Below are 25,536 nucleotides of genomic sequence, written 5' to 3' on the forward strand. Positions count from 1 at the left end.
AACCTGTTCTCTAGCTCTAACAGAAGGCTTTCTTGGGTGCAGTTTACTGTTTATATACAAAGTGTGTAGATGGTCTAAATGTTTTTCTAGCACATACTAGGCTCTCAATAAACATTTTTAACTATGGAGTGGATGTAAGAATGAATGACTAATTTATCTTATTGGTTTCCTGTTATATTTTTTGAAAATCTGAATATTTTTGGTTAGTTCAGTGGTTAAAAAAACAGATTTCTTTTTCTTCAAAATGCCGTACTCTTCTAAAATGCGATGGAAGTATAGGGAACATAGTAATATTTTTGTCATATCATTGCAGAGGGGAACACTTATGATCATTTTTAGATTTAAGTAGGGGCAGTAAAATTTCTTTGCCTAATGATATTTTAGCCTGCGTGTGTTTGGCTGAGTTTGCAACCTGGAAATCACCTTTTAAACAAGGCACTTCTCCACACAGCATATGGAACTTTACTAACATAGCATAAGAATATATTTTTGGTATGTTTATTTTATATTCATGTACTTCCCAGAATTACTGGGTCATCTTCTTATTAATGAACTACTTATAAACTTGAAAAAATTCTTGCCCATTACTTAGAAAATTATCATATGTGATTTCTGTGAAATATTTACAAATTATAGTTTGTTTGTTTGTTTGCCATCTTGCCATTTCACAATGACTGTGTTTCATGGTAAGGATACCAACATTAACCATCACACACTGATCTGAAGTGGGTAAATCAAGTTATGTTCTACAAGATCAAGATATATTTTTTTTTCTTAGATTTGCATAGACTGTCCCTGATTTTCTGGACTGTGATGTTGAGTTATCATAGTACTAACTCCATTGAGACCAAAGACAGTTATTTATCTGTCTCTCTTAAACTGATTTACTTTTTCCTTTTCTGCCCTGAGTAATCCTCAGAGGCCCAGAAAGTGAGGAGAATTCCACCATTAAAAGAAGGAGAGAGGTGACCAGGCACGGTGGCTCACCCCTGTAATCCCAGCACTTTGGGAGGCCAAGGCGGGCGGATCACGAGGTCAGGAGATCGAGACCATCCTAGCTAACACGATGAAACTCCGTCTCTACTAAAAATACAAAAAATTAGCCGTGCATGGTGGCGGGCGCCTGTAGTCCCAGCTGTTCGGGAGGCTGACACAGGAGAATAGGGTGAACCCAGGAGGCAGAGCTTGCAGTGAGCCGAGATGGGGCCACTACATTCCAGCCTGGGCAACAGAGCGAGACTCTGTCTCAAAAAAAAAAACAAACAAACAAACAAACAAAAAAAAAAAAAAAAAAGAGGGAGAGAGGCCTCCTGTCTACTGTCCTTTCCTGAAAAATCGTTAGTGTACATTGCTGATCATGTTCACTAATTCCATTTATCATGCTACTCTATTTAATTTCTGGTTTTGAGTGTAACAGAAGGGAAATAAGACCAAAACCTTACGAATTCCTGATTATGTGAATACAATTAAAAAAAGAATGCATGAATTGACTTTACATTAGCAAGCAAGTTTTTCTCCTGTCTTAACTTTTGTGTTGAACAAAGTTCTTATCTGACTGAATAAAGAAAATGTGATATCTACATAAAATGGAATATTATTCCACCTTAAAAAAGAAGGAAATTCTGCAATATGCGACAACATGGATGAACAACAACCTTGAGAGCATTATGTTATGTATAATAAGCCAGGCACAGAAACACATATGCTAGTTTGCTTTTTTTTGTCATTCTATTAAATCTATCCTAATCTAGTTGTCAGCTTTGTGCTCAACTGTTTCCCCTACTTTTTAAACAGTTAGATGATGGCTGCCAAGGTTGAATGGAGCAAAATACATTCTTATTCATGCTTTGTGGTAGAAAGGGAGAAACTGGCTCCCTGTGAATCTCTGGAGAAAGGAAGAATTATCGAAGAAACCTCTAGTAACCCTTTAGTCAAATTGCAAATCGCATCAGTCATTTCTGGTCTTGTGCCAATTTCTGAGCCAATCCCTAGCAAGAGGGAAGGGAATTACTATAACTTTATACAAATCAGAGCTCATTCCTGAAGTTGGAGATGGAATCAGCTTTTCTCTTCCCTCCCATTGTTTACAGAGGAGATAACTGAACATTGTTGAGATTTCAGGAAGAATAAGATGAATGGACTCTGGGTAAAAATCTGTCCTTTGAGGAGGGACTAGGTAATTTGCTTAAGGCCTTATAACTGCTTATTGGTGGTCCTTAAACTTATATCCAGGTCTTTTTCATTTCAGAAGCCCAAGCTTCTACATTGCCTTTTGTGATGAATATCAGGTCTTACTTATGAGAATATATTTTCAATAAAATGTTAAAAATCTGTGTAACGTTGGACAAGTAATTTTGGCCTCAGTTTCCCTATGTGTACAAAGAATGAACTTCTTATTTCAGTCTTTGTGGACCATTTGGTTTTTGTCCCAAATAACTGCTCAACTCTGCCATCACAGCAGAAAAGCAGCCATAGACAATATGTAAACAGATGGGTGTTGCTGTGTTCTGTAAAACTTTATTAGCAATAAATGGGGTGGGCCATGGGCTCTAGCTTGCCATCTCCTGAGCTAGAGGATAACTACACTTCTGAGTTTATACACTGGTAGCATTTTACTATATATTTCCAACCAGAAACTTTTATTCTGGCTGAATTTCAATATTGGACACATCATAGATTTAAGAAATATTAAAATTTATAACTATTAAAGCTTTAGATTGGATTTTTTTAGTGTGAAATTATAAAATTCATTCTTTTTAATATGAATGCATATAGGAAACTTGTCTTATTGCGTGATGCCATAGCATTCTTGAAACCTTTTCTCCCAGGTCATGTTGCCACTTACTTGTTAAATTAACATTACCGTTGTCACGGACATGCTGACTTGTTCGGAGATGACAAACAAGTCAATGAAATAAATGTAGGAGAAAAGGAAATAGGAAAATGGGGAAAAGACTCAAACAAATTTGTCAACATATGATTATCAGGTGTCCATCTTTTATAAAAACACAAAACCTCTGTGAAAAATAACATTGAATAGTCCTTTAGGATTCTTAATCTTCTTCATAATGTATTCTTTCCTTAATTATAAAATGTGCAGCTAGATTAAAGGTATATCAAGCCACTCAATCACATTCATTAACCTTAAATGAGCTACATTGCATATGAGAAGACTTGTACAGTCAATTTCCCCTAAAATGATATATCACAATTCTTGTTACTCCAAAAGTAAAATAAATCAGTTTAGGTGTTTCATTGCAATGGGTCATTGTTACACCCATAATAAAGAGGCAGATATTCAGCCCTGTGATTCAGGCAACAATAAAGCTAATTATCAAAATGCTTGATAGCTGAAAGCCATCTTCCCTGTTTCTTTTTTTTTTTTTATGCCACTAAAAAAACCCACCAAAAAAACACAAAAAAACAAGCAACATAAACCAGACGTCATCTCTGAGTCACTGACTGAAGAAAGTAATGAAGGTTCATTATGATCACAGCATATTCCTTTGCTTCTGCTAAGAACAATATGTCATGAAAAATAAAGATTTTATTTTTAGGGTGGCAGACAGGTAATCATTCATTTATGTATCCACATGCGAGAAAATCAAAAGTAAAATGTGAGGACATGAGACTTCTGCCTCCATCTAATCTCTGTATCTTCATTCACCCCCATTGCCACAGAAATATTTTGGAAAAAATATTCAAGGCATGGAGGGTAAACAAAAGTGAAAGAAAATTTAAAGATGATCTACACTTTTCAAAAGAGCAACCAGGTGACAGAGACCTCTGATCTTGAGAAAAGGCAATCAAGCGGATCTATCCTGAAAAGAAGCAATTCTGTTCTTGCAGCTTCAATTCTCACATTTGTAAAATGGAACAAATAATACCTTCCCTGGCTGACTCTGAGGCTTGTTAGAATCAAATGAGAGAATACATGTGAAAATGCCTTCTAATCTAATGTAGCTTCATGGAAATGAAGGGTTTAAAAATCTTGCCTAAATTAGATTCCTTCTCAGGTCTGGTCTTCAGACTTAATTGTGAGCTTTGCATTCCTATTTTCTACCTATGCTACTCATTCATCTCTTTACTTTGATTTATCTTGCCTAAATTCCACAAATTAGAGATTTAGATAAGGAATTTTTTTTTAATCCATCCATCCGTCCATCCATCCATCTGTTCACTTGCAGTTGGGGGGAGGCTTCAAAAAAGTATTAGCAATTGAATTGTCTTGATGAATATTTCCAGGTAGAGAAGGACTTTCCAAACAAGGAAACTGGTACACGAAAGGTCAAAAAAGAACATGATTGGCAAGCCATTTGGTGTGGTTAGATTGCTGAGTAAGAAGGCAAAATGGGCTGGTAGGAGTGGTTGTGGAGAAATTGTGAAAGACTCAGCTTGGCAATTTGGACCTGTTCATGGAGGTAAAACATAGCACAAGCTTTCTTTTTTGTTGTTGTTTTTGTTTTTTTTATTTTGCTTTTTTGAGACAGAGTCTCGCTCTGTCGCCCAGGCTGGAGTGCAGTGGCGCGATCTCTGCTCACTGCAACCTCCATCTCCTGGGTTCAAGCAATTCTCCTGCCTCAGCCTGTTGGGTAGCTGGGACTACAGGTGTGCCCCACCATGCCAGCTAATGTTTGTATTTTTAGTAGAGATGGGGTCTCACCATGTTGGCCCAGGTGGTCTCAAACTCCTGACCTCAAGTGATCCGCTCGCCTCAGCCTCCCAAAATGCTGGAATTACAGACGTGAGCCACCGTGCCCAGCCAACAAGTTTTAAAAATTTAGACAAATTCTATGAAGATTTGGGGGCTCTTAAGCCCTAAAATTTAGGGTATATTTATTTAACAAGCTTGCTTTCCTTCTAGCAAAGGAAAAATAATCTTATTTAGTGCCAAGAGCAAGTAAATAATTTACCAAATTCTAGTTCTTTGGGGACAAGAGGTAGCATTGGTTGGAAAAAAATGAATAATGAGAAATGGAGGTAGAATAATAAAATCTGGGAAAGTGTCAAAAAGATTATCTCATTTCTAAACTTTACATGGATCCAGCCCTGTGCCCTGCAAGGAGAAATACTCACCTAGTATTAAAGTTTATTATCTTCTGACCTGGCCTGTCACACCACCGTATATAATACATTTTCCACTGCAAAATTATTCTGACTAAAATTTTGCTCACAAACACTTTTGGAACATAACCTATTTGTGAGTAGCTTTGAGGTCAGGAGGAATTTTACTCTCTGCATTGAAGGACCTAGATGTCAACATTCCATGTGCTTGAGGGCTCAAGTTATTGAAAATAATTCTGGAAGTTATAGAATATTAAGAATGCTAGGAAGAAACTCAGAATGCTTTTTCCTCCTCTCTAATTTTACAGCTGATGAAAGAGATGTTTGCAGATATGGATTCCCTAGGTGTACTTGATCTGCCCAAACATTGTCTATTCTGCAACCATTGGGCCTACTATACCCGACTGGGTAGGGCAAAGGAAATCTCAGGAAACCTTTCTAAAGTGGGGTGAAAGGTTTTGCTAGTAAGCCCATTCCATCTGACCTGAACTTCTCAGCTATAAAATAAGGAGTGTGTACCAGATGGGTTATAAAAGCCTTCTCTGTGCAACTGATTGAACCTTCCTTTTGGAGGTATAGGTTTTTATTGGTGTGAGTCAGAAGCCAAGTGAATTGCCAGCCATGTCTGTCTCTTGTTACCAAGGTTTGCCCAGAGTTTCTTTGGGAAGTATTCCAGAGAGATGAAAAGTGGTATATATCCAATGTCTGCAATATGCCTTATTAATTGCAAAAAGAGATCTTTTCTGAAAAAAGATATTAAAGGGATGGAGAAGACTCTTAGAAGGAGACCTAGGTCGGGCATGGCCGATCACTCCTGTAATACCTGGCCTTTGGGAGGCCGAGGCAGGTGGATTGCCTGAGCTTAGGAGTTCGAGTGCAGCCTGGCCAACATGGTGAAACCCTGTCTCTACTAAAATACAAAAAATTAGCTGGGCATGGTGGCAGGTGCCTGTAGTCCCAGCTACTCAGGAGGCTGAGGCACAAGAATTGCTTCAACCCAGGAGGGGGAGGTTGCAGTGAGCTGAGATTGTTAGTTTGGGCAACAGAGTGAGACTCTGTCTCAAAAAATAAAAATAAAATAAAATAAAAAGGAGGCCTAAACTTCTTTTCACTTTAAGATGCAAAAGTGGCCTATGCCTTATAACCTTTCACATAAAATAAGGCAGACAGGTGGGTCGTTAAGAAGTAAGTAAGAAAAAAAATGACTTTCTTTGATTTGGAGGAAGTCATTATATATGTGAGTTAAATGTACTCAAATGATTGCTGCAGAACCAAATACAGTAGTACAGGAAATTAATTGTGGTAAAAATTTAAAATGCTATAAAAAACTGTGTTAATTTAATTTCCCATTACTTTGTAGAATGCACAGAACATAAAATTCACAGAACAACTCATAAAGCCAGTCACTTTATTCTTCTGACTGTGAGGCTATCCTCTCACCTTCGTGTTGTAGTTTTTTAAAGAAGAGATTATCTTGGAAGAGTATTGTTTTTATCTATGCATGTCCAAAGGGCAGCACAGATTATACCATATGTTGCTTTTTGTATATAGCAGATCTTTGTTCATGAATCTAAACCTGACTCAAACATCTTTGTCTCAGTGTTCTGTAAAACTGATGGATGTTGCCTAGAGCTGCTTATCTTTCAGTCTCCTATTTACTGATTTTAGTGCTTTGTGAAAATATAATAGAGTAAATAGGCTCTGGAGCCAGAACATCTGGGTTAGAATCCTGGTTTTGTCATGTACTAGCTGTGTTACCCTAGGGAAGACATTTAGCATCTCTGTGCCTCAGTACTCCATCTAGAAAATGAGAATAATGATAGTGCCAACACTTCATAGAAACAAAAAGATTAAGCAATTTGATATAAAAGGGCCTGACAAGACCTAACCCATTGTATATATTAATGTATGCTAGTTACTATTGTTGTTGTTTTGCCCTTGATTCAATTGTCCAAATTATTTTATACTATGGAAATTCTTATGGGTTTATGTTCTTCAACACCCATATTCAAGGGTCTTCATATAACATTTCTTCTGTTCTTGAACTTACCTCTGTAAGTTAGATCTATTATCAAAGAAAGAGAAGAGGAAATTCTTTAACATCTGCTTGTTAAAACAAGACTCCAAAGAAACAGAAACACAGTAATTGAATAACAAAGTCTAATATGGTGGTTCAAATTAAATATTCCAATGAAGAGTCAATTGGAGCTTATGAAGGCAGGACTTTTTAAAAGTAGATGCAGTCCAAGTGAGGAATCTAGCTTGCAAATATGTTTCAAATTATGATAGCCAGTTACAAAGGTTGCCAGATGCAAAAGAGAGTACATGGTTAAAAGATGGATTTCAGAGTAAATAACCAGTAACTTTTTACGTAAATATATCCCATACAATGTCTAGGCCATACTTATGCTAAAATAGTTTTCATTGTTTACCTGAAATTCAAATTTAACTGTATGTCCTGTATTTTTATTTTCTAAATCTAGCAACTCAACTCACGTGTTATCTTTATAAACGTGGATTTTAGTTGTCTCCTTCTAAAATTTGGAAGATTTTACATAGAAATACACTTCCTTGTCTTCTTTTGAAAAATTTGGCGATCTGGCAAAACTACGCCTAAGTGACAACAATAAGGTGGCTGGAAATGCAGCTGCCCCTCCCTTTATGGAGCATGTACTCTCCAGACCCCACAGCCCCTTCCCCTAGTCATTGTCTTTCTTCTTGCCTTTTACACTAATTTATCTCACTGTCTCCTGGAAGCCATTGACTTTGGGATCCTCACTGTAATGGCTACATAGGAATTTGTAATATTAATGTATTTTGCTCATTTTACCATGAGCATCTTAAATAAATGTTCAAATGTATGCTAAGTTAGTAAAGACTAAAGCACAACCTATTTACTCTGTGATCTGTGATACTTTGCCAAGGCATCATCCAGCTAAATAGAAACATTTTCTTCAGAGCTGTGGTGTACTAATATGGCCTCTGGGACTTATTACCCACTGACCCTCTTAAATGCTCCCTCCATCCCCCTTCTGAGAATTTTAGCTTCTAAGATTCTGGCAACTGACAAATGAAGAATAATAATGCTAACGTTCTGCTCTACTGGGTCCAATCCAAGGACAATAACAGGAATACTTGCATTCCCTTGCAACTAAACTTCATTAGCAATTTCCATCTTAAAATGTTTTAATGCATGGTGTTCAGAAGTGGTTAAAATGAAATGGAGGGTATTAACTTACATTGGTAATTTCTTGAATTATGCTTGACTTAATATGTAAAGAGTATTGCTCACATTATACCTGTCACAGATGAGAAAGTCATACCTGGATGAATGTAATCCTTCTATTGGTTTGTGTGGACACAAACCATCAGAGGGTTAGTTGAAAATCTTTTGAGACTCAGAGAAATCAGATGTGATATTAATACTACAGACTCACCATGTGAGCATAAAAGTGTTGATAATTTTCGAAGGTAAAATGCATCTAATAAAAATGTCATTCTTTTGTTCCTGTATCTCTGAAGGATGACTGTTTATATTTACAGTGTTGACCAGAACAGCAGTACAATCAGTCAATGAATTAAAATAATCTCTTTTCATAACCACTAGCTGTTATCTTTTCAGTTTTATGTACTCTCAAGCAAACATGTTCTCTGAGAATGCATCTATATGTCCAAGATAGAAATTGCAATATGAAAGTTTCCAAGTTATTATTAGGGAGTAAATGAGGCACATATTAATGTAAGTCTATAAGTCTAGATTCAGCGGCACTTTTCTGCTCTACTGTTGGACGGAAAACCCAGTATCTGCACTGATTTGTTTTTAGGTCAACACTTTACTTATAAAAGCAAATTATTTAAGAAGGCTTGCTAATGGAAACTACCATCATCAAATATACAAAATTCATATATATATAGGAATATATGCATGGACATGAGAGATCGAGAGATTTTTTAAAAATTCATAAGTCTGGCATTTTATTCAAGGAAAACACATTTAGATAAATTTAAATACATCTACTTCAAAATAAGGTAATAGGCTATTCAAGCAAACTGACAAGCAATCAGGTTAGCTTTAAGAATAGAGATTTACCAAAAGTGAGTGTTAATCGAGTCTCTCATTATTTCTTTTGGGTTTAGTCTTCAGCCCTAAAACTATGCAAACATCTCAAAATTTTGGTAAATCATTAGAAAATCAAAGCATTGTGCTTACAATTTGTTGTTAAGTATGACATGTGCATTCTTTTATTCATTAAATAGTTATTGAAGTGCCCTTGTTTGCTGGTCACTGTTCTAGACACTGGAGACAGAACAGTGAGCAACAGAGACAAATCCTCTCTTCTCCTACAGTTTGCATCGCAGTAAGAAAGAACTAAGGTAAGCAATAAATGAGCAGTTTTCAGGCAGTGTCAGGGTGATGAAGAAAAATGGAGATGGGAATGAGAGACACCAAGGGTCAGGGCTGGGAAGGCTATTTTATATTGGGGAATCAGATTTGGGTTGGGAGACAGGGGTAGCAGAATGCAGCCATCCATGTAGGGATCTGCATTAAGAGCTTTGTGGGGGCAGAAACAACAGCAAGTAAGAATCCTAAAGGTGGGACTAGCTTGGCCAGTCGAGGAGCTGAAAGAAAGTCATTGAGGCTGGATGCTAGCAAGCCAGGGCTAGAATGGTGAAGATGAAGCTGAGAGTTAAGCAGACTGGACCATGAAGGAGCATCCATGCATATATTCCTCTCAGCCCAAGATTCCCAGATTCATCTTTTTTCAACACCTGATAGCCTTCTGTTATTTCCTGTTTCAAAATTTGTCAGCATCTTCCCACTGCCTACAGAATGAAGTTACATCTCTCAAGCATGGTACCTCTGTTTCTCACTACACATTAGAGTCACTGAGACATCTTTTAAAAATACGAGTGCTCAAGTCCCACCCCCAAAGTGATTAAATTGTAGACTGACAGTGATATTTTTATCCAGCTTCCAGTTGATTCTAAGGTACAGGTGATGTTGAAAAACATTGGCTTAGATCTGTGCAATCTAATAGAAATATAATACAAGCCACACGTATTTTAATGGCCACACTTAAAAAAGTAGAATGAAATAGGTAAAGTTAATTTTAATAATATATTTTTTAGCCCAATATAGCCAGAATATTATCAGTTCAACATGTAGTCAATATTAAAAATATTTAAAATATTTTACATTCTTTTTTCATACTAAATCTTTGGAATCCAGTGTGTATTTACTCACATCTTAATTCAGATTATAAATATTCATCACAACTATTTGATATACATTTGGAGTGTACAAAATTTATAGTTACAAAAGTAGATTTCCATATACAAGTTGTTCATCACACATTTAAAAGTTTTCCAATAACTGAATACATTTCGTCATTTAAAAATTTAATTGTAAATTAATTAAATAAAATTAAAAACTAAGTTCCTTAGTCATATTAGCCACATTTCAGGTGTTCATTGCCCATATATGTCCAGTGCCTACCCTGTTGGGCAGGGAAACACTAGACGGTAAGTGTAACCTACTTTCCAGTATCACAGAATGCTGGGTAAAAAAATAAAAAACAAAAACAGAACAAAAAGCACCTTGAGTTTTATAGACAGACATCAATCCCAACTCTGTGCTGTCAGATTATAGATTGGTTAATGCCTGCCAGTTTTCATTTCACATCTAGAAAATAAGAGTAATATTACCACATTACCATTAGAATGAAATACGAAGATAGTATGTCAAGTTCCTAGTATAGTGCCTGGTGTATATAATCCGCTTCTCATTAGTTAGAGCTTTCTTCTACCTCATACCTCTCTACCTGTAATCTTTCAACTCAGTTGAACCCCCATATTTAAAAAAACAAAAAGGATGAAAATTTTCATGTCTGTACACCTTTGGTGGTGATTAGCTTTCCCTCTAAATTCCTTTCATCCCTATCCTTTTTTCTTGCCCTGGTTATTTTGTTCATGAAGCTCCCCCACTAAACAAGATAATATGCATCTATTAATATATATTTTAAGATACTTTACTTTTGGCAGTGATTATATATGTTTTGTGTATTCTGTATCTGAGTCAGTAACTGCACACTGGTCAGCCACAAGCCAAATCTGGCGCATAATCCTGTTTGATTTTGCCCACTGCAGTGTTGGCTCAGACAGGGTTAAAAACAAATGGTTGCTAGCATTTTGGAATCAAACAGATTTGGATAGAACTTAGATGTGCAGCTTCTTTTGAAAATAATAAAAAGTAGCACTGGCAACACAAGGCCTGCGTTTCCACATAGTGGTAATCTGCTGAGCTGAATTGAAGCTATTCCCTTTAGGCCACCTGTGTTCTCCAGGTATTGACAGTCTCCAGTATTCCCTCTTGTTTTTCTGATTCTGAAGCTGAATGTCAGTTGTTGTTTATCATCACTCATGCTAGCAATTTTGATATACCTCTCACACTTCTGTCTCTAGCCAAAGTATGCCAATGAATCCACCACTTCTGATCCGTTTCAATGTTAAATCTGTCCTCTGTAACTCCACACCTTCTCCATCCCTACAAAAAAACCTAAGGTCTTTAGCATGCGCAAGTATGAGATCATTTTCATCTGATTCCCGGTGAGGCGTATAGACTTTTAGAGATGGGGCTTGAGTGCTTTATTTGATGTGAGATAATGAATATCCTGAAATGTGCCTTTTGCTTTACAAATGTGTGGAAGTTTTCCAGTTTGGTTAAAACCCCACATGGAGTGATCTTCAAGCCCAAAGGACAAGCCACATTGCATCAATTCTAAACAGGATTTTTTGGAAAATGGTAGCAACATAGCGAATGAGCTACTTGAAGCAGAACCCACTGATTTTTTTTTTCAGACTAGTCAGCGTTTTGGTGGTAGTGCATGATTATATCTAAGATGCTAGCAAAGCCCTTGGGAAGCAAAAGAACAGATACCGCTTATCAACTTCTATCGTTGGAGTAAGACCCCAGAATAGGAATGTATATTTTGTTTAGTTCTTAAGAGACTCTTCAAGGACTTATGGAAGAATTTCACATTTCCGTAACCAAGTTGAGAAACTTTGACATATGATTTTATCCTTTGTAACCTAGAGTTGTATTCATAGGATGGGTTGGGGGATATTTTCAGAGGATGTAAATTACTAAGGAATTATTTCACATTTTGAAGTTTTGAGAGTTACTTTTGGTTTTTTGAAATAAAAATATTTTCAGAGGTCATTAAGCTAAAGTTTCTCATTTAATGCTTTAGGAAGGAAATGAGGTCTAAGGAAGGTTCACTGGTTGAGCCCAGTTCGCCCAGCTAGATATTGAGGAAGTTTCTACTTGAATTCAAATATCCTTTCATCTGGTAAAGCTCATGAAATGCTTATCTATTAGCATTTAGTTTATATCTAAAATTATGTTAGGATCATAAGGATAATACTGCTAACTTTTAAAAAATGGTAACATGTTATTTTGGAAAATTTGGAAAATTATGCCATTGGTATAGATCATCGTGTATTATTTTTAGAAAAAGTACTTTAATTTTGAAAAAAATTCAAACTAGAAATATATTTATTGATCTTTTTCCTGATTATAATGCAAGATCATTTTAATTTGATTTAAATAATTCAGGAACATTTAAAGAAGAATGAAATATCATCTAAAATCTTACAGGCAAAGATTAGCAATATTAGTACTTTGGTGCATATTGTTTCAGATATCCATATAAAATTTTACATAAGTGGGCTGGGTGCGGTGGCTCATGCCTGTAACCCCAATATTTTGGGAGGCCGAGGCAGGTGGATCATTTGAGGTCAGGAGTTGAAGACCAGCCTGGCCAACATGGTGAAACCCCTTCTCTAGAAAAATTAGCCGGGCCTTGGTGGCGCACACCTGTAATCCCGGCTACTCTGGAGGCTGAGGAAGGAGAATCGCTTGAGCCTAGAGGCAGAGGTTGTGGTGAGCTGAGATGGCACCACTGTACTCCAGCCTGGGTAACAGAGTGAGATTCCATCTCAAAAAAAAAAAAAAAAAAAAAAGTTACGTAGGTGGGATGACACATTTATATTTTAAGCATCTTCTTTTTGCCTTTTCTCTTTTAGAAGCTTACCATCATTCCCATGAATAAAGGGCAATATAATTTTTTATGGTGGCCCAAGAACGTCATTGAATAATATGCTAGAATTTATTCTGTCACCATAACATTTAAGTTGTTTGTAATTTTTTACAAGACACATAAAAATGAACATCCTTATTTAGGTATTTTTAGACAACTCTCTGTTTTCTTGAAATGAATCCCTAGTATTGGAATTAATGAATCTAAGGATATACATATACATTATATATTTTGACACATATTTACAGAGATAGTAATTTAATGTTGATTTACCCATGTTTTTACCAGCAGTGTGTTTTATCATGTTTTTATTCTTTGCCAATCTACATGAAAAAATGTATCACTTTGATTTTTATATATTTGGTTAATATTTCTTTACCAAATTTCTTTTGTGAATTTTTTAGGTGGGAGTATGTTTTTAAAATATGTAAAAACAATATATTAGATATATCAAATAATATACAGCATATGTAAATGATATTAATATATAAAACATACATCAAATAGCCATATTTATGTATGCCATATATAAATATATACACATTTATGTACTTTCTCTTTAGAAAATGAAATCCAATTCAATGTGTCCGCTCAGTAAGGTAACTAAAGACACTAAATTGGTTTCATCTATGAGGTTGTTAGTAGCACCTGTCCCAAGCAGTCGAAGCTCTGCCACTAATGAGGCAATGTGATTGGAGGCCTGTGTTTGCATTCTTTTTAGATCTAAATTTTCGAACTTATTAGATGAGGAGGAAATTATAAGAAATTATTTATAAGGACCCTTCCAGGTCTAATTTTTTTTAATGTGTTTGCATTTTATTAAGGTTTTCTAATACCGTTGAAGCTCTGAAAAGCATTAAACTTCTTAATAGCAAGACATGAAAAATTGTAACTCAGCAGTCTAATTTGATCAGTTAAACAACACTGTACTTAATTTTAGTTTTTTATTTCAAGCAAACCAAGTCATTTTAATTGTATGGCTTATATATCCTGGGTATTTGAAATCATAGGATTCATTTCCTGATGACTAAATCTCCCGTTGCATTATAATTTTCAGTATAGGAAGCTGAGCTGAAGTACTTTCTTCTTCCCTGATATTCCATCTAATAGTACAGATCCTTGACCTGTACTATTCTCAAGGTCTTAAACATAGCAAGAATACCATTTTCTTCATCAAATGTAATAAAGACAACTAAAAATTTTCGTTGATCCCCTTTGGCCTCTAATGAGCCAATAGTTAAGGTGAAATTGATGCTTTAGTTTGTCTGAAAGATTGTGCAAGGGTGGAAGGGCAGCAGCTCAGCATCTGTGCTGTGGTGGACACCTGCCCTTTCTCTTCACATCTCCCTTCAGCACTGGGAGTTAAGACTAGTGAGTAAAACCTCCCAAACCTGGCTCCATTGCTTTCTAAGTATATTGGCAAGTGACTTATCAGGCTAATCTCGGTTTCATCATCTCTAAAATTGGAATAAAAATCCCTTCCTCATGGGGCTGTTGCCAGGGACAACAGATGTTAATAATTGCTGACGTTTGTCCAGTGCTGTGTGCCAGGGGCCATGGTCAGGGCTTTGGCATGGTTCTCACAACCTTGCACACTTGACACTTGATCCTTAATGAATGTTACTTTATTATTTTCACAATCATCTTGCAGGGGTGAAAACAAAGGAAACATTTTATTCCAATTGTGTAAGGGAATATAAAGTGGATGTGAGGAGGTTCCTGGCTGAGCCTTGCTTGCAAACCACCTGAGTCCCTGACTCCTGGAAGCCCTGGAGCCAATGCATGGGATCTTTACCAGGACAAAATTTCAAATAGCCACATGAGTACTCTTCTGATTTTGACAAAAGCAGTCAGTGATTTCTGAAAAACAAACAAATTAAATCCATGATCGTCAGGGGTCGACCAAACATCCTAGGTAATCGCTGACAACGTCCTCATCCTCTATTCAATGGTCACTGCAAACCAATTCCTTTTTACTGTTCTGTATCACGTTTTTCTTCCTGAGCTCTTTACTTCTTCACTGACCACCTTCTGAACACTCACACTTCTCCTTAGGCAACAGACGCAGACTACAGGCCGATTTGATATGTGGAGTTTTTGTTTCAAATGTTTCGTTGTAAACTTTTAAATGTTGGGAGTTTAAAATAAAATAGAATCCAAATTTCTGAGTTTGAAATTTCTGGCTTTTCTTGAAAAAATTGGTAGCCACAACAGCCCTGGGCTCACCTTGCCCACATCACTGCAGTTGGTCAGTGGCCGCCTTAGGTGGACTGCCTGCTCCTGCCCCGTTACCCCCAGCGCTTTCTCTCTTTTTTTATTTACCCAGCTTTACTTTTCATTACTTACCTAGTCCTACAGACATACTTGGCGCGTGACCTGTGCCCCATGCAGATTTGCTCTTTTCCTCTTAACTTCCACTTGCTTGCTTTCTTCTGACATCTCTCCTTCCTTCCCCGCTTCCAGGAGCCAGCTCCGTGTTTACATCTTCCTTTCTACTCCTCGCTTCTGTCCCTGTAGTAACGCGAGCAGAGCAAGGAAATGAGAAATGCTGGGTCCTACCAGCAGGGGGTGGGAGAGTCCCAAGAAGAAAAGGGAAGGAGCTTCTTTGTAGGAAGACCTGACACCCTTTTCCTACCTGTAATTACTGCTGATGCCTGCCAGACACCCCTGTTATTTACCACCTCTTCCTCCCTCTCACTTTCTGCAGGGCTCATTGGGCTGATGGTGGGTATTATAACGGAAAGGCCTTCATCCAGGTCCATGTAGCGGTGCGCCTAAGCACCTGCGGGCTCTGCATCAGAATCACCTAAGGAGTTGCGGAGCATGCCGCTTCCTGGGCATTTCTCTGGCAATTTGATTCAGTAGATCTGGAATCGAACCTTTTAGAAGTGAGCCGCGTCTTCCGAGAAGCAGTTCCCCAGAAAGACATTTGGAAGCCAATCCAAACTTCCCTTTAAATGTGGGAAAACTGAGATCCAGACAAAAGGCAAGATTTTCTAAAAGGCTCATTCTACAAAATAGTGTTTAAGTCTAGGATTGAGAAATCCACTTCATGGGAACATTCATTAGACGTGCCAGAGGGTATTTGTTTTTCAGTGCAATATCCAATCTAGGCCAGTTTTCATTTCAACCAAAGCTACAGAGAATTTTAATGTTGGAAGTTTCATATTATTTTTTAATCCAGATTTTTAAGAAATGGCCTCCCTGAGCCTGGATTCCCACATAACACCACTTAAGTTAGTAAACGCAGTCATCTGAGTGCTTGAGTCAGTAGTTGGTTCTGAAATAGGACAACTTCATGGACGTACATAATTACAATTATAACAAGAGCAAAATGAATGGCTTGTTAACATTGGAGAGGTTTCTTCCTCACATATTTCCTTGTATTCTGTTGCATATTTGAGGTTTTTTTTGAGATGGAGTTTTGTTCTTGTTGCCCAAGCTGGAGTGCAATGGTGCCATCTCGGCTCACTGCAATCCCCGCCTCCTGGGTTCAAGCGATTCTCCTGCCTCAGCCTCCCGAGTAGCTGGGATTACAGGCATGCGCTACCACGCCCGGCTAATTTTTGTATTTTTAGTAGAGACGGGGTTTCTCCATATCAGTCGGGCTGGTCTCGAACTCCCGAGCTCAGGTGATCTGCCCACCTTGGCCTCCCAAAATGTGGGATTACAGGTTTGAGCCACTGCCCCCAGCCTATTTGAGTTTTTTAAAAGCCTTGAGAATTGCTTTTGTTTTTTTACTACTTAATGACCTCTGTGCAAATTCATTTCATAGGTTGAGGCTCTGAGCAGCAGGACATTTTCTAATCATGTTTTGCCATAGTTAGAAGGTAGACAGCCATGACTGCTGGATTAAAACACCTAGGTCTGTGAACTTTGCGGCTAATGTTTTTTCGGAATTCCACAGAGAACCCAGAAAAGGATATTAATTTTAAGTGAATAAGTACAATTTTACTCACAGTCTGGGGAATATTATAAGATTACAAGTATAGCTAATTTCAAGAATTTTATGAGCTTTCGTAGAATACATACTCAAGGGTAAAACCTCAAAAAATTTGCATGCATGTAATTAAACAGCAAATAAGCCACAACAGAGAGCAGTGGTACAATCTGCAAATCTGTCCTTAAAATTTGCATTGAATGCTCTCCTTACGATTCAGTGGGATACATGTTTTTTGCTGCCTCTGCTTTTGGGTTTCTGTATAGTCAAGGGTGAGTCACAAAACAGTTTTGATCACTGGTAGGAGGGATTTTTGAAGGGGGTGAGAAACCTAGAAAGTAAAATCTTGGAAACCAACGAAATGCCCTTGTGTTTTATTAGCTAGCACTTTTTATAGTTCACAATAAAGTCAGCTCGGAAGGTCACTTCTTGAACACAGCTATGAATATTGTAATGTGTGAGTTTTCAAATTGTTTATAAGCAGACTGGGTGAGGATTTTTAATAAATACTTGGCCAAGAGAACTATTCTGATAGATACGTATGGGAATCGTGCAATGAAAATTGGAATTGGATTCCTCTCCTTTCCCCCTACTTTTTCCTCACCCCAAGGCAGCAAGTTCCAACTACATTGAAAATGTGGTTACTATATTCTTGTTTTTCTTTTTGCATTTGATATTTTTAGAAAATGTGGGGGTATTACAGAGCTATTTACATACCTTATTTCTAACTCAGCTGAAGGATTTTGTCACCTTTATTCCTGGCACCTTTATTCTTGCCATCTTATATATATATTTTAAAGTTTCTCTGTGGTAAACACAAGGTTCCCACAGATAAAATTCTCACCTGAATGACTTTCTTTTTCAGCTCAAAAATTAAGGTGTAATTATTGGACGCAATACCAAGTAGGTTCATGTAGGTAGGGCAATGGGAAAACGTCAGTGAGAGACAGAAGTTAAAAAGCAGAAAGCCCATAGGTTTGCTGGAATAATTTTCTCCATGTCACATCCTGGACAGACAAGTGTTTGATCAAAAGGACAAGATGCAGGTTAGTAATATCTGCAGAAACAGCATTAAAGTTAGAGTCAATAGTATATTGTGATGATGCACATCTATAATTCACATCCCTTTATTCGTGCTATTTTTTGGAGAAAGTTCACTTCGTAAAACAATGCGATTCACATCAATAAAACTGAACTAATATACAACATTGCTGATGTACAGATATTCTTCTACTTGATTTATGAAACAAGGTGACTAGGATAAAGCAGTTTGGCTCAAGTTCAGTTTTTAGCCATTTCAATTTCATTTCTCAAGCTGTGATTTGGGCTGTGTGCTGTTGCTTACGTTTATCTTCCTTAGTTATGAAGTTAATTATGACAAGCTGATTGTGGTCTTTAGCACTGATGAGTGGCCTTTGAAAGATTTGTTGGCAATTTTGCTTGATATTTCTTTTTGTTGAACATGCATTTTAAAAATATGAGAGCCAGCTAGTCAGTTTCAGTTTATTTTATAGTAATTTTGTACAGTCGCTTCCCATCTTTTATATGAAAATATATTACAGAATTTTTGTTCCTAATGCTGAAGAGAGATGACAATGAAACTTTTACAGTGGGATCATTTGAAAGTAGGTAAGCATATCAACATAAGTAACTTAACCGTATTACCCTGAGTAACATTGATATTCATTACAGAAAGCATTTTTGTTTTTAGCAAATGTAAGTAGACACACTGTCAACACCTAACTGTCATTCAACATGTGTGACTCAATAAATTTTTTAGGGGAGGTGGAGTATGGTATTCAGATTCTCAAGAAATACTAATGCTGCACATAAAATTCTTATATCATGTTGTAGAACCCAGAGATTTTTTATTTTTCCCACTTTAAAACAAGTATTTAAAGATATAAGAAGAAAATCTTTTGGATGAAATATTTTTCTTGTGTATTCTGAAGGAAACACCCATCTTTCTGACCATAAATGTACCTTAATTTTTCTAACTCCTCAAGATAATAATGCAAATAGTTGTTTGCCTACAACTAAGACTAGCCCTTTGGTATAATGCTCTATATCAGAGTATAGCATGTACGGGCTTGAGGCATGATAGATTCGCTTATACATGTTAGAATGAGATGATAAACTAATTCATTGTCCTGCATTGGTATCCCAATATTGTACTCCTTCCAATGGTCAGTAACAAAAGATAGCTAAGAGAAAAATAGGTGTACATGTGAAATTATTTTGGCCGGGCGCGGTGGCTCACGCCTGTAATCCCAGCACTTTGGGAGGCCGAGGCGGGTGGATCACGAGGTCAGGAGATCGAGACCATCCCGGCTAAAACGGTGAAACCCCGTCTCTACTAAAAATACAAAAAATTAGCCGGGCGTGGTGGCGGGCGCCTGTAGTCCCAGCTACTCGGGAGGCTGAGGCAGGAGAATAGCGTGAACCCGAGAGGCGGAGCTTGCAGTGAGCCGAGATCCCGCCACTGCACTCCAGCCTGGGCGACAGAGCGAGACTCCGTCTCAAAAAAAAAAAAAAAAAAAAAAAAGAAAATATTTTAAAGTGGTTCAGGAAAATTGGTGTGAATTGTTATTATTATTTTCCTCCAATTGGTTTTTCCAAGAGACTCTATCTGTGTCGACAATTTCCGAGTCTCTTTGAGGCTCAAAGTCATGGGTGGGTTACCCTACTTCACTTGATTTGAAGCCCTAGTCCCAGAAATTCTCAGCTACAGTGAGGATTAGTACTCTTCTAAGATGCCGGGCATTTGTGTTGGTGGTTTTTTGTTACAAATGAAAGTGCTTTAGTATTTCTTGGTTTGTGGGCCAAGCTGTATTTCCTTATGAGTAAAGAACAAACCTACACACATATAACAATGTTTTTAAGATAGGTTGAGGGGGTACATTAAACAATCAGTTTTTCATAGACAGTCTTTGCATTCAGGTACCCAGCTGCAATTTGAAATCAAATAACAATTTAATTTTGCTTTTCATACTTTCCATTCCTGAAATGTCACCACAGACTGTATTTTATTTGAAACAAGCAGAGATATTACTATGCATAGTAGTTCTTTAATTGCAGCATATTTCATTAGGTTGCACACATTAATTACACTCTATTGGAAAAAAAAAAGAAAACTGGAAGCAACCACATGGTAGTTAACTTCATATGAATTTTCATGAGTCAATATACACATTGGTTTGATGCTATTAGATGAGTGATCCTCGAAATTTCATAATTCGAGGACTAATATGACCAAATGTGTAATTACAGAGTTGGCAAGTTTAACCACTCTGAAGAACATGTTTTAGTGCATCTGCTTATTTAAAACTTTAATCTAAATTCAGATTATTTGATGTTAGCCACTGACAATGATGTCGTTCATCACCATTTTCTATGTTACCTCAACTTTCTTCTATTCTTGATAGTATTTTCACAGTCTCCTATCTGTTGGTCAGGTTATACATATTTGTTTAATCAGTGACCATATATTGAGAGATGACAAATGCTGTTATTGAAGCTCAGGATACAATAGCGAAGGAGAAAAGAAGCCTGCCTTCGCAGGGCTTGTATTCAAAGTGGGAAAAGGGGAGACAGAGATTATGCCAGCAAGCACATGATGAATTGATGATAGTTTTATTTTTATTTATTTAAGACACAGTTTCACTCTGTCACCTAGGCTGGAGTGCAGTGGCACTATCTTGGCTCACTGGAACCTCTGCCGCCTCCCGGGTTCAAGCGAGTCTCGTGCCTCAGTCTCCCCTGTAGCTGGGATTACAGGCACCTGCCACCACGCCCAGATAATTTTTGTATTATTAGTAGAGATGGGCTTTCACCATGTTGACGAGGCTGGTCTCAAACTCCTGACCTCAGGTGATCCACCTGCCTCTGCCTCCCAAAGTGCTGGGTTTACAGGCATGAGCCACTGCATCTGGCCAGATAATAGGATAGTGGCAAGTCCTGCAAAGAAAGTTAAACAAGCTGAAAATGAGGTATTGACTTGAAAGGAAGATCAGTTTTGGGTATGATCATTCAGAAGGCTCTCTGAGAATCACACATTTACCTGACACCAGCCTGGGGAAAGTCTGGGAGGAGGAATTCTAGGCCAAGAGAAAAGCAAGTGCCAGGGCCCTGAGACGGGGTCCAGCTTGGAGGTTTGTTTTAAGGATCAGAAAAAAAGCCAGTGGCTGGATCACATAAATAAATTTGGAAAGAGATGAAGCTCAACAGGTAGGTGAGGACCACGCTATTTCAGGCTATATTTCTTGTTTATTGTGCCTCATTGGTTTTGTTTTAAATAATTGTTTCACATTTCCAATACAGCTTACTTATAAATTATCCTCTTCAAAATCTTGGCTTTTCTACTTTGTCACCCAATACAACAATTATCACATTAAATTATGTAATACTAATTTCTTCTCTGCTTAAGTTATATCGTGGATTCTTAAATTATATCAATATTTGTTTTGAATTCTTACTATATTCTATTGAGATGCAAATACTCCCCTCACCCCTCCCCAGAATTGAGACGTCCTTTCATGAAGTTTTCCTTCTCCTACCTGTTATTTTGTATCTTTGAGTAAGAAGAACCAAATGACGTTGGTGTTTATTTTCCTGTGGCACTGAATCTGGGATATTATAGTTGTCTGCGTAATCAGTTGAATTTGCTTTTAGCTGTCCTGCTTTCCAAGGGCCTTATCCTGTTAAACATTCACCTTCTCAAATTCTTTTTTATTTCCTGCTTCTCTTTCTAACCTCCAAAGACTTCTTATGATCTCTTACCAGTTTTTGCCTTTCCCATTAACTTAATATTACCTGTAGGTTTCATTAACTTGTTATTTCTCTGGCCTAGATCGTTAGTGAAGGTGTTAAGTGAGACTTGGCAAACCCTCCCACACCGAATATATTTTGCCATTTAAATTCTACTTTGCTTTGGGATCCTCAATCCCATTTTCAACAAACTATCTCTCCTTTGATCTGAATTTGGCTTGGAAACCAGAATTTGTGAATCCTTAGTTTCTATTACAAGAAGATTGGGTGCATAATGAATAAATGTAAAGATTTATTGCTTTCCTCAGTTCTGACAAGGACATTTCACATTGTATTTTGAGGAAGATTTTAACTGAGCACTTCATAAACTTGCTATTTTTCATTTTTTGGAAAACAGGACTCCAATATCATTGTGCAGCAAGCTTGAAGCTATGTTATGGTAATTTGACTTCTGGAGGCACTTAGGTAATCATTTCAGGAGAAAATTTTTCTTAACTGATCTCAGGTCCTATAAATCACTTCTGTTTATTGCTGTTGTTTCCACTAAGTTCTATGATTTGGAGATTTTTGTTTCTTAACTTCTTTGTTTAGACACTTGTTCAAATATATCCAAAAATAAAAACAACGTGGATTCGTTGCTGGCTATTTTCACTTTGTTACTACAGAGAGAGTTATACTGGGACCCTCTTTCTGTTCCTTTTCTGTCTCAGACCCTAATTCCTTCCATTCTGTCACAGGGTCCTAGCCCAACCATGTAAAACTTGCAGAAGGAGTGCCTGGAACTGCTTTTGCCACCCCAAGATGACCACTTACCTCCTTCCTATAACAGAGGCAAGAGAGGCAAAGAGAGGAACCGTAAAGGGAAAGTGACATTTCTTGGAAAGAGGTACAGGCACTTGTGAAGGGGCAAAGAAGGGGCCTGTCACCTTGGTCCCTTGAGTAAGTCTTCAGAGAGTGACTCAGGTCTCCTGCAGTCTCTTAGGCACAGAGGGTTCAAGACCCACTCCCACTTCCAAAGAATATAAGATGAGACAACACGGCTAGGGGTAGGAGAAAGGAGAGGGACTGCTTAGGAATGGCCTATGCTTCCGCATTCCACTGAAGGAAACGATGTGCTTTCTCTGCCCACTTTGTGGGAGAACCTTTCCCAAAGGAGACCTCCTGGAAGGCAGAACAGGTACAGGAGAAAGAGACTGGAGATGTCTGTGGGATGAAGACTGAGGGACCTTCTTAGTTTCAGTCAGTAGACACATTGGCTTTCCTCATGGGATCTGCAGTTGAGAAGTCCTCATAATGGCAAAGGGCGCAGGAGAAAATCTTTGAACAGTCAGTCATGAAACATCTTCCGTGACCAAAGGACTCCATGGCTAGGTTGCATCAGTGCTAGTCACACGAGGTCTTTTGTAACCTATATCTGTTATACCTTCTCTGCTTCCTTGCTGCAATCCTGGAAGCATCAGAAACCAGGGCAACAGAGCTGGGAACAGAGGAAGGGGAGAAATGTAAAACAATAAACTGAGATACGGAGGACCACGACTGTCCTCTATGACCAGGGATTGTAGGCTTGAAGCAGGGTTGAGGGAGGAGAGATGTAATCATTTAACTTTAAATGAACTGTGGAGTTGTTTAAATTAATATCTTGGAGTGAACATTTTAATTATTGAACAAGAGCATTTTTGTTAACTAAAAGTCATTTAAAGACTTTTCTTATCTGAGAATGATTAGAAAAGTTAGAGTTAGGCTAGATTCTCCCTAAATGGCAGAAAATAGCCATCCCCACAAGAACGGTCTTGTGGCCAATAGGAGCAGTGGCCAAGACTAGTTTCTTTTCACCTTATACCTGTGTAATTCCGTTCTTTCAACTTAACACTTACCTCTTTGCTTTTAGAGATTATTAAGAATATAAAGTCAGTGATGAGACTTTCTTTCAGTGAAACAGCTTGGAATCTCCTTGGACTCGGTTTACTCAGTTTTTATTTGAGATTTGCTTTTTATCTCTTGTAGTTTTTGGAAATGAAGCCCAAATTTGGCTGCAAAGAAATTCAGTAAGAAATGTAAACATCAAGAGAAGGTGACAGGATGATGAAGCATCTGAGATCCTTGCCAACTGAGGAACAGATATAGGGGCAAGGGGCATATTTAGCTTGTAAAATAAAAGATGTAAAGAGAATTTGGTGCCAATCTTTATATATTGTGGGAGAAAGACTCTATTTAATTCTGTATGTCTTCATCGAATCAAACCAGAAGCATTCTAGGAAGGGAGATTATACACTAACCTAAATTACAACTTTAACATGTTCAGAGCTGTTTTTAAACACTGGAGCTGGGTGTTCCTGTGAGAGTGAGCTGCTATCTCCAGATGTTTGCAAGCAGACAAAGACTGACTGGCTCAATGCAAGATATGCTGGCACAGACCCCCGCACTGGGGAGATTCTTGGATTTCATAACCTCAGGATTTCTTGCAGTGACCTAGGGCAGAATCTGCAGAGAATCTCAGTGCAACGTTTCTAGGTATTGATAGGGTGTCCTCGAAGGCGCACTGGCCAGGAAACTTGGACTATCATACCTCTGATATTAGCATTGTAATTTGCAGATTAGGCATCTATGCTCATAGAAATAGTTCCAGTGGTAACATATTTGTTCACCTGAGGCCAATGTGGCCTCTGCTCATACTGCAATTGTATAGTCATATTTTGCTTTCCTTTCTGGTTGTGGTAGCAGATGCAAATGTCAATTAACAAAAAAAAATGTTGCAGTGACATCAGACTTTGATTGGGTGCTACCAAAAACACCTGTGCACCTATGACATATGAAGCCTTACATAAGTGTTAGCATTGGTTTCACTTTAAAGATGTATTTTTTTTTCAAACTTACAACTATAACTAAAATAACTAAAGGTTCTGAAATGGATTTTTTGTACCTTGAGTATAGAATAAATAAGTTAATCTTTTATTATCGTAAATGAAGAAAGAAAAAAAAGCACAGGAGTTCACCTCCTTAGCTAATGTTCCACAAATATACATTCTGAGAGGAGTTATGTTTGAAGACATGGCTGCATTGTGGGGCTTAGTCCTCAAATTAAGACTCAAATAATCTTCTGTTTCTGGTATTTACAATAGGCTTGTATCTGTCTGCATAGAGACACAGCCTTCTGTCTGGCAGCAGAAATAGGATTTGTAAGGTTCATTTACTCATATAAGTAAATATAAGTATTTCCAAACATGCTGTTATTTTCACTATATCAAAAATCAAATCTCCTCATCTTGTACTTCTATCTAGCTAATGCCCTATTTCTGTGCTCTGCTTTACAACAAAACTTTCTAGGAATGGTGTTCCTGACCCTAGTATCACAAGTTGATTGCTGTTTACAATTTCAGTGTAGTGCTCAGACCTACAAGGCCAAGGAGTTGTTGTCCCGGAAGAAGCAAACCTTGATGTAAATCTTGAATTTGAAGTTAACAATTGAGGCAGTCTTTAAATGGGTTGAAAGAAGGCTGACGATAAAGTCCCCAGGTGAGCTGTGTGGCCTTGTAAGTCTAAGCACTAAACTGAAATAGTAAACAGCAATCAAATCATGATACTAGGTCAGGAACACAGAAGCCAATCAAAGACTTAGCAGAAAAGAGGTGACATTCCAGAGTTCCTGTGAGATGACAAACTTGCAGA

At 37.6% G+C, this 25,536-nt stretch overlaps 1 protein-coding gene across 8 annotated transcripts in view; it reads left to right on the top strand.

The window, feature by feature from the left end:
• The window catches only part of TENM2 (teneurin transmembrane protein 2), a 1,285,129-nt gene that overhangs the window by 35,977 nt on the left and 1,223,616 nt on the right, over positions 1-25,536 (top strand). The window contains exon 2 of one of the 8 annotated variants that reach the window (XM_047417418.1): positions 9,359-9,438. The exons of the other annotated variants lie outside the window; for them this stretch is intronic. The gene's annotated coding sequence lies outside the window, so the exon portion shown is untranslated. The remainder of the gene's footprint in view (positions 1-9,358; positions 9,439-25,536) is intronic. 8 annotated transcript variants of the gene reach the window in all.

The sequence above is a fragment of the Homo sapiens genome, chromosome 5 (assembly GCF_000001405.40).
Source record: "Homo sapiens chromosome 5, GRCh38.p14 Primary Assembly".
Taxonomy (NCBI): Eukaryota; Metazoa; Chordata; class Mammalia; order Primates; family Hominidae; genus Homo; species Homo sapiens.